Source organism: Homo sapiens, chromosome 2 (genome assembly GCF_000001405.40).
Source record: "Homo sapiens chromosome 2, GRCh38.p14 Primary Assembly".
NCBI classification, from domain to species: Eukaryota; Metazoa; Chordata; class Mammalia; order Primates; family Hominidae; genus Homo; species Homo sapiens.
Genome location: NC_000002.12, coordinates 96,235,895 through 96,245,769, shown reverse-complemented (window position 1 = coordinate 96,245,769; position 9,875 = coordinate 96,235,895). Strand labels below are relative to the sequence as shown.

At 48.6% G+C, this 9,875-nt stretch overlaps 1 long non-coding RNA gene across 1 annotated transcript in view, besides 2 other annotated features; it reads right to left on the bottom strand.

Moving 5' to 3' along the window:
- Positions 1 to 3,146: 3,146 nt before the first annotated feature.
- The window catches only part of STARD7-AS1 (STARD7 antisense RNA 1), a 34,208-nt gene continuing 27,479 nt past the window's right edge, over positions 3,147 to 9,875 (bottom strand). Inside the window, exons 2-4 of the long non-coding RNA NR_046322.1 lie at positions 7,671 to 7,865; positions 5,082 to 6,057; positions 3,147 to 3,893 (exon numbers count right to left, since the gene is read on the bottom strand). This is a non-coding gene — a long non-coding RNA (STARD7 antisense RNA 1). The remainder of the gene's footprint in view (positions 3,894 to 5,081; positions 6,058 to 7,670; positions 7,866 to 9,875) is intronic.
- Positions 3,607 to 3,656: an enhancer, noted in NCBI's record as "active region_16210". NCBI's record gives its function as "activates an Ori minimal core promoter by ATAC-STARR-seq in GM12878 lymphoblastoid cells {active_cell/tissue: GM12878}" and the evidence as "EXISTENCE:reporter gene assay evidence [ECO:0000049][PMID:35858748]".
- Positions 3,677 to 3,936: an enhancer, noted in NCBI's record as "active region_16209". NCBI's record gives its function as "activates an Ori minimal core promoter by ATAC-STARR-seq in GM12878 lymphoblastoid cells {active_cell/tissue: GM12878}" and the evidence as "EXISTENCE:reporter gene assay evidence [ECO:0000049][PMID:35858748]".

Below are 9,875 nucleotides of genomic sequence, written 5' to 3'. Positions count from 1 at the left end.
TTCTATTTGGGCCCTCAGCTGATGGATGAGGATCCCCTGCGTTAGGGAGGCAGCCTGCTTTACTTGCTCCACCAACATAAATGCCAGTCCTACCCCACGCCCTCACAGATGGACCCAGAGTAATGTTCAAGCTGATATCTGGGCACCCCATGGTCCAGTCCAACTGACACATAAAATTAATCATCACAGATGCCTTCTTCAGCACATGCTCGATATCTAACAAATATCTCTACGGTGAGATTTTCCCCCCAACCTTGGGCCCACTTAAGAAAGATGTTGAACTGGGCGCGAGGGCTCACGCCTGTAATTCCAGCACTTTGGGAAGCTGAGGTGGGTGGATCACTTGAGGTCAGGAGTTTGAGACCAGCCTGGCCAACAAGGTGAAACCCCGTCTCCATTAAAAATACAAAAATTAGCCGGGCGTGGTGGTGGGCGCCTGTAATCCCAGCTACTTGAGAGGCTGAGGCAGGAGAATTACTTGAACCTGGGAGGCAGAGGTTGCAGTGAGCCAAGATCATGCCACTGCACTCCAGTCTAGGTGACGGAGCAAGCCTCCGTCTCCAAAAAAAAAAAAAAAAAAAAAAAAAAAAGAAAGATATTGAGAAATTGGAGAGGGTCCAGGCAAGCATTCTGAGTGGATGAAAGGTTAAAAGTTCTAGAGAAAAGGATGTAATAGCAATCTTAAATGTGTGAGGAGATAATTATTTATTTGCTCAAATGTGTGACTTAAAAAGGCACGCCTTCTCTATAGGACTGTTTCCTTATATGTAAATGAGGGGCTGAACTGGGTGACTTTACAGTCCTGCCAGCCATAAAGATCCATGACTTCCTGAGAGGGGGCTGCCACGCTCTGTATCCACTGTGGGAGATGAAGAAGGACTGAGGAACTGAGCAGTTTAGCTGTAGCCTGTAGTACCAGCTACACAGGAGGCTGAGGCAGGAGGACCACTGGAACCCAAGAGTCTTGAGGCTGCAGTGCACTATGATCATACCTATGAATAGCCACTGCACTCCAGCCTGGGCAGCACCACCAGACCGCATCTTTCTTTCCTTTCTTTTTTTTCTTCTTTTGATGGAGTTTCGCTCGTCACCCAGGCTGGAGTGCAATGGGGTGATCTTTGCTCACTGCAACCTCCATCTCCCAGGTTCAAGTGATTCTCCTGCCTCAGCCTCCCAAGTAGCTGGGATTACAGGCATGTGCCACCATGCCCACCTAATTTTTGTATTATTAGTAGAGACAGGATTTCTCCATGTTGGCCAGGCTGGTCTCAAACTCCCAACCTCAGGTGATCTGCCCACTTCGGCCTCCCAAAGTGCTGGGATTACAGGTGTGAGCCACTGCTCCTGGCCTCTATTTATTTACTTACGTGAGTTTTTTTTTTTCCAATAGGTTTTTGGGGAACAGGTGGTGTTTGGTTATAGGAATAGGTCGTTTAGTGGTGATTTCTGAGATTTTGGTGCACCTACCACCTATGCAGTGCACACTGTACCCAATGTGTAGTCTTTTATCCTTCACCCCCTTCCCACCCTTTACCCTGAGTCCCTAAAGTCCATTGTACTCATCTCTATTAAAAAAAAAAGAAAAAAAGGCCAGGTGCAGTGGGCAGATCACTTGAGGTCAGGAGTTCACGATCAGCCTGGCCAAAATGCTGAAACCCCATCTCTACTTAAAAAAAAAAAATTAGCCAGGCATGGTGGTGTCTCGGCTGTAGTCTCAGCTACTCAGCAGGCTGAGGCAGGAGGATCACTGGAACCCAGGAGGCAGAAGTGGCAGTGAGCCAAAATTGAGCCACTGCCCTCCAGGCTGGGTGACAGAGCGAGACTCCATCTCAAAACAAAAACAAAAACAAAACAAAACGAACAACAACAGCAGCAAAAAAAGGCCAGGTTCAGTGGCTCACACCTGTAATCCCAGCACTTTCGGAGGCCGAGGTGGGCAGATCACTTGAGGTCAGGAGTTCGAGACCAGCCTAGCCGACATGGTGAAACTCCGGCTCTACTAAAAATACAAAAATTAGCTGGGTGTGGTGGCTTGCTCCTGTAGTACCAGCTACTCGGGAAGTTGAGGCAGGAGAATCACTTGAACCTGGGAGGCAGAGGTTGCAGTGAGCCAAGATTGCACCACTGCACTCCAGCCTGGGGGACCAGCCAGACCTTGTCTAAAAAAAAAAAAAAGGAAAGAAATAAATTCTTTTCCCATCTTTCTTTCTTTATTCTTATTTTTTGAGACAGCGTCTTCATCTGTTGCCCAAGGTAGAGTGCAGTGGCACAATCGCAGCTCATTGCAGCCTCTATCTCCTTAGGTTTAAGCAATCCTCACACTTCAGCCTCCAGGTTGCTGGGACTACAGGTGTGCAACACCACACCTGACTGATTTTTTTTTTTTCTTTTCTGTATTTTGTAGAGATGTGGTTTTGCCATGTTGCCCAGGCTGCTCTCAAACTCCTGGGCTCAAGCAATCTACACACCTCAACTTCCCAAAGTGCTGGGATTACCACCACACTTGGCCCTTTTCTCATTTCTAAAGTGGGTTGTCTTTTATTGTTGAGTTTTAAGAGCTTTTGTTTGTTTTTGCCATCCTGTGCCACTCTGTTGCACAGGATGGAGTGCCGTGGAGCCATCTGGGCTCACTGAAACCTCCAACTCCTGGGTTCAAGTGGTTCTTCTGCCTCAGTCTTGAGTGAGCCACTACGCCCGCCTAATTTTTGTATTTTTAGAGAGATAGAGTTTCACCGTGTTGGCCAGGCTGGTCTCAAACTCCTGACCTCAGGTGATCCGCCTGCCTCGGCCTCCCAAAGAGCTGGGATTATAGGCATGAGCCACCATGCCCGGCTGAGTTTTAAGAGTTTTTATATATTCTAGATACCAGCCCCTTATCAAGTGGCACAGAGCAACTATGGCAGAGGGCCTACAGAGATTAAGTTTGTGCCCCATAGATATACACTAAAACATTTTGGAGAAATGGAAAAATATGGATTGATACTTTCCATTGCAACAGAATTCTTTTAAAAGACAAAAGAACCTTAGATATCCTCACCAAATTTCAGGATGAAGAACACAGATATTGGAAATTCTTGCTCTAATCTTACCTAAGGGTGTATTAGTCAGTGCTGTTTTAGTTGCAAAAACTAAAAACTCAACTCAAATTAGTCATGGAAGAAAGGAATTTATTGGCTGAGCAGCGGAGAAGTTAAATCCTGAGGTGAATTTGGGGCTCCCAAGATGTCTGGGCCTCCTCACTCCCCCTCTTCCAGCTCCACCCCTGATCACTGGCATCATTTCCTGGCCAGGCCCTTCTCTAGCCTTCAGTGTGGCAAGAGAGCAGTTTCATTTCCGGCTATCTCAGAGCACTGCATTCAACAGAAAACAAAGCAAGCCCTTTCCTTGGAGTTTACAAATGACTCAGGATTCACTCTGATTTGACCAAGAGTCAGAACCCTAATTGGCCAAGCCTGAAGTCACTTGTCTACCCCTGATACTGGGAATAGAATGCATGGATGAGAGGGAGGTGGGTGGTTCCATGAAAAGGAAATTCAAGCACTTTTCCTAAAAGAAGGGGGAATGGATGCTGAAACAACACGTCTCCCACAAAGGGAGCAGACACTGGGCTTGTGAAGCTGCCCCATACCTTCCCCACAGAACTGGGTTTCCCTCCTTGGTGCCCCTGACGGAGCCTTGTCTTCACCCTCCATTATGTATTCATCATGTGGCATCGTCACTGTTTCCTCCTCTGTCTCCAGAGTGTCTTCTCTTAGTTCTCAGCTAGTAAGAGAAGGAGGCTGGGCATGGTGGCTCATGCCTGTAATCCCAGCACTTTGGAAGGCCAAAGTGGAAGGATTGCTTGAAGCCAGGAGTTTGAGACCAGCCTGGGCAACAAAGTAAGACTCCCGTCTCTACAAAAAAGAAAAAAAAAGTTAGCTGGGCATGGTCATGTGCACCTGTGGTCCCAGCTACTTGGGAGGCAGAGGCAGGAAGACTGCTTGAGCCCAGGAGTTTAAGGCTGCAGCGAGCTATGATTGCACCACTGCACTCCAGCCTGGGTGACAGAGTGAGACCTCATCTATAAAATTTTTTTTTAAATGCAGGGGTGAAGGAAATAAGGAGGTAATTACTGAAAGAATGAAAGGTCATGCTAGAAATATACCATAAAATGCAATGGGGACTCAAAGAAGGGCAAGATTAAAGGGGACAGGAAATCTATTCTGGGGTGTCTTTGAGGGCCCTGAGAAATAAAACAAAGGAGTGGCAACAGGAACCAAAATATCCTCTTAATTACTGCTAGAGGGCTGGGCTGGAGGACACAGCTTTAGACCTGTGAACTAAGTGAGCTGCTAATGCAAATCCCACTAGGAGGCAGGCTCACCCGCCCAGCCATGGTAGCCCTCAACCAGAGAAAGCCTCCTTTAGTCCTGCAGGAGTGCAGCCCCCTCAGCGAGAGCAGTGGGATTTTATACCCTGCATGCAGCTCACCCCCAAGGTGATGGAGGGGCCCACTGGCCTACACAGGACCAGTTTCCCCTCCCCACCTACCTATCCAAGCAGTCATCTTTTATTTTCCCTGGGGCAAAGTAATAGAGGGGTGGAGAGAAGGCAGGAATGTTACCCTAGTGGAACTCCCTGAACAGGGGAGGAAACTGGTAAGGTTTCCAAAAGCTCATGGAGACAGTGGCATTTAAGATGGGCCTCTCTTAAGGTCCTGAGCAGGAGGAAATGCAGAGACTCTGGGCCAACACTCCTAGATGTGGCTTCTGGTCACCCCCACTGTCAAGGTGGCTCCACTCTTGCCCCATGGCTCTCTGTAATAACTGCCCTCTTGCCTTGCCTGCTGGCCTGGGTTGCTATGGTGCAGTAACTCTACAGCTTGGTACTTGGGTCTCGACTTGTTCATACATGTTGGTGCATCTCTGTGCCCTAAGATTCTCTTCCAGCTATAGCTGGCTCTGTTTCTCTGCACCTGCCACACTGCAATGAGCAGATCTATTTCCAGGTCTGGCAGCCCCTGCTGCTGGGCTCCTTCCCATAGTGGTAAACTGGGCCAGGCTGAAGAGATGATATTAACCTAAACTGAGCCAGATACTCACCAACTGCAGGGAAGGAAGGAAGCAGGAGTGTGTGCTTCACTTTGCTTCCTAGGCTCCAGACCCCCAACTGCCCGCTGGGAAAACAAGGGCAGCTCTTGCCCACATGAAGCAGGGAGCCTCGCTCCTGAGGCAGGGCGCTGGTGGAGGCTGCCTGAATGTGTGTTCTCACTGGCGACTTGGATCTGGTCCTGAGAAGAGTTGACCCGAGATGTCTTTGGCCTTGCAATTCCACATACAGCCCCCTCCTTGATGACAAAAACAGATGCTTCCATGAGGAGTTTTTGAATTCGGAAGAAATTACCTGCTACGAGGAACAGTCTCACATACTGAGGAGTAAGAGGACGAATATTGTAAACACTTTTCATTCTGAATAATAGACTAATAGAGCTTTGGATTGTCCATGTATTCTGAAGGGAAGAAAAGGCACTTATTTGCTGCCTTTTGGCATGATAGTCAAAGCCCAGGGGTTGCATCAGACTCAAACAGCTTGCTCTCCAAGTCCTGAGGGGAAAGGGACCAAGGCATAGACATGAGAGCTAACAACAACCAACTTCAAGCAGGCCCACTTAACCCTCTGCACAATGCCTGCCCTCCGCTGTAATGAGAAATGATTTCCACACATGCTGCTGCTAAGATAATAAGAGTGCTTCCGAACTCTCTGCCAGAGCCCAGACTAGAAGACATGATCTGTAGCTTGGGATCTGAAACCTGCAGGCCATGAGGAAGGACACACAGAGGGCAAGGGCGTCAGCTAAGGGACAGCGGCGAGGGATGGCTGCAGAGGGGGTGTGCAGAGCTCCAGCACCGTGCAGGTGGAGAGAGTCCGTGCTCTAACTCCCAACACTGGTTATCCGCACCAGGATACTCTGTTGAGTTCCATGACAGAATCTGTTTCAGGGCGGGCTCCCTGGAGGCTGACTTTGAGATGGAGATTCCCATGCAGGGAGTGTACTGGGGCTGCTCTCAGGTTCAGCACCTACAGAAGGGAAGGAAGCAGACTTGCTCACAGGGAGAAGCTGGGCTGCAAGGCAGTCTCGACACACCCCTCAGCTGAACCCATGGAAGGTGTTGAAGCATTAGAAAAGTCTCATGGCCGTCCCAGCTTCAGATGCCCCCAGCCCCCACTGAGCTGAGGGGCCAGACCTTTGTACCCCAGCTTCAGCCAGTCACTGGGTACACACTGTCCCCAGAGGGGTGGTGGGACATTGGGTGGGGAAGCTGTCTTCACTTGGGGGCAATTCCTGAGGAGGGCTGTGAGCCAGCAATCCTCCCAGCAGCTGGGGCAGAGCCTGTCTTGAGGGGGATTTGGATTGTTTATCAGGGCGTCCACAGCCTCTTGTGCCACTCAGATCCACTCCTCTGGGTAAGTTCTGGGAGCAGCTCGTCTTTCTCTGGAACAAACTAATGGTTCATCAGATGACCACAGCCCCCACCACTGCAGCTGTTCTTGAGGTCTCACCGATACTCCCCATCTCCCTCTTCTATCCATTTTATCTTTATTTATTTATTTAGAGACTTGTTCTGTTGCCCAGGCTGGAGTGCAGTGGTGTGATCACAGCTCACTGCAGCCTCCACTTCCCAAGCTCAAGTGATCCTCCTGCTTCAGCCACCTGAGTAGCTGGAACTACAGGTGTGTGCCACTACACCCAACTAATTAATTTTTTTTAAGAGATGAGGTCTCACTATGTTGCCCAGGCTGATGTTGAATTTCTGAGCTTGAGTGATCCTCCTGCCTCAGGCTCCCAAAGTGCTAGGATTACAGGTATGAAGCACTGCACCTGGACTTCTATCCATTTTATTTTATTTTACTTTTTTTTTGCGACTGAGTCTCACTGTGTCGCCCAGGCTGGAATGCAATGGCACGATCTCGGCTCACTGCAACCTCCGCCTCCCAGGTTCAAGCAGTTCTCCTGCCTCAGCCTCCTGAGTAGCTGGGATTACAGCCACATGCCACCACACCTGGCTAATTTTTGTAATTTTTTTTTAGTAGAGACAGGGTGTCACTATGTTAGCCAGGCTGGTCTCAAACTGTGACCTCAGGTGATCCTCCCACCTTGGCCTCCCAAAGTGCTGAGATTATAGGCGTGAGCCACTGAGCCCGCCTCGGCTTCTATCCATTTTAGATTCTCCTCCCTGCAGGAAGCACCTCAGCTGAGCCCCTGGCCACCACACCCTTTTCAGGCTATGGCTGCTGCACCTGTGCATTTATCATCAGCAAGGGGCAAGAGTACAAAGACATATTCCTTCTGGCTCCCACTGTGCAACTGCAGCCCCATCTCTTCCTGGTGGGCAGGGTCCACTACTCCTGCCAGGATGGTGGCTCCTGCTTCTTGCCTACTGGTTCCTTGGTGTACTTTTGCTGTATCCCTTCATGGAAACATTTCCTTATTGGGAACCAGAACCTAAAACCCTCAAAGCTTAGAGTTGTGGTAACAGAAATACCCCAATGGGATTAATGTAAAGTGAAGCCGCTCCTATCTCTACCCCTTGGTTCCTGGACCTATATATTCCTCCCAGTGGGACATAGCGCCTTATTGGTTGTTGATTAGAGTGTACACTGTGCCCTGGAAGGTAGTAACCCCTCCTTACTTGGTATCATCGTCTCTGAGCTGGCATCTCAGCTACGCCTTCAACAGCCCATTTCTTCTCTTCGTTCAAGCCAGTATCTTCTGGGTGGTGCAGAATGTGACAGGACCAGTGATCCCATGGTCACGTGCCATTGTCATGCCTCCTTCGCCTTGCAATGAACGGGCCCTTGGGTCTGATGTGATGTTACGTGGGAACCTATGTCAGTGGGTAAAACACTCAGTAAGCCCTCAGATAGTGGCGTTGGCTGAGGCCCTGCAGGCAGAAAAGGTAAACCATGTGTCCATTCTAGTCAAAATAAATTTCTGCCATTTCTAGGATGGAAGGGACCCATTGTAGTCAACTTATTACCAAGCGGCTACTTATTTACTTTGAGAGCTACTGCCATTTCCGAGGATCAGCACTGATGCATTGCTGGCAGGCTGAACATTCAGCAGTGGTGGTAGCTACATCAGCCCTTGTGAGTGACGGTCCATGTGTTTGTCCCCATCCCTGCCACCACAGTTGCTCCTTCACATGCCCGTTGTGTCAGTTCTGGGGTGGCTGATGGCATCTGGTTGACATCAAATTGGCTAAATCATTCTGTCTAGCTGGTTGTTTGGTGTTTCTTTCAAGTTAGATGCTTTCTGGTGGTCCTCTTCACACTTCCTAGCTACTCAAATAGTCCATCCACATGCCTCTGTCCCAGACATCCTTGTCCTTGATCTTCTAATCTTTCTCCTTCCAGACCCCTGATCAACCCATCAAGGCAGTTACTAGTAGCCATGAATGAATATAAAGTGTACCCTTGGGCTACATGTCTTTCCATACGAAGTGGATGAACAGATGCACCAGTGAGAGGACTGATCCACTGGGGGGATTTCCCTTGCCACTCTTTGTCAAGATCAGCCTATGGTGGGCTGTATTGTAGTCACAGCTCATTTTTGGCTTGCAGCCATATACCTGTCTGACCCATCTGTGAATCAAGAAAAAGCAAAGGCTCTCCTCTTTTGTCAGCTGATCATAAAGGGACTTTGCCCCCCTGTGCAGCCACAGGCATGAGCTGAGGGAGAAGCACTGGTGCCACACTGGCAGGTGACATGTGTGTCTAGGCCATCTGACTGTGTAGCTCTGTTCATGCCCAGTTCTGGACATACCATTTCCATCTTACTATGGATTATGGCTAGGCCCATTCAACTTTATGTCTTGGTGAGTTTGATAGGCAGAACCTAACTAATAACGAACGGTTCTAGACACGTGGTCACTTGGTGCCCCTTGGTGAAGTGTTCCATCTCTGCCAGGGTTTAGTAGCCCTTCAGGAGCTATTCTTCAAAAGGTGTCTAATTCTCTGCTGCAGATAGTATGGTCTTGCTCCAGAACCCTGAAGACCTATATTGTGATTGTCCTGCTGGGGCTTGCTAGAAACTCCACCTTGGATACCTGTAATATAATGGAATGACCAGAGCCTTAGCAGAGGTGCTTCCTGAGGTTAAGGGGAATCTAAAATGGACAGCAGAGGAAGAGAAATGATGAGGATCAATTAAAACATCAAGACTGTAGGGTCTGCCACTTGTAGCAACCGGACCTGCTGCAGAGCTCTCTCCTATTCTGGGCCCCCCAGTCAAAGATGGCAGCCTCTTGTGTTACCAGGTGTTAGGTTAAGCAGTATTCCCAGTTGTGGAATATGCTGCCTCTAAAATATGAATGGATTTACTAGAAGTTGTGCTTCCCTCTTCCCTGTGGTAGGTATGAGTTTCAGTAATTTGTTCCTTGCTTTAGAATGTTTCAGCACGCTTAGACCACTGGACTCCTAAAAAGTTCACTGATGAGGCAAGCTCTTGTATATCATAGGACGTTTCTTCCACTTCCTAGAGTGTATGTGTCTCACCCAAAGTACTTGACACTTCTTGCTCACCTGGCCTCATTAGCAAGATGCATATGATATCATCAACATAGGAACTAATACGAAGTTCTAAGAAATATTCAGACAGTTCTTATGTCTTTAGACTGTATTTTGACAGAGTTAACACAGCCCTGTAGGAAAACCATAAATATATACTTTTGTCAATTCCAAGTGAATCTACTGTTTCTGATCTTCCTTTTGGTGGGGATGGGAAATTGTGCATTTGCCAGATCAGTGGTCAGTTCCCTCACACTGTGTAGACTATGTAAATCCACTCTAGCATGGATGCATCTGGCACAGTAGCTGCAATTGGGATATTCGGTTCG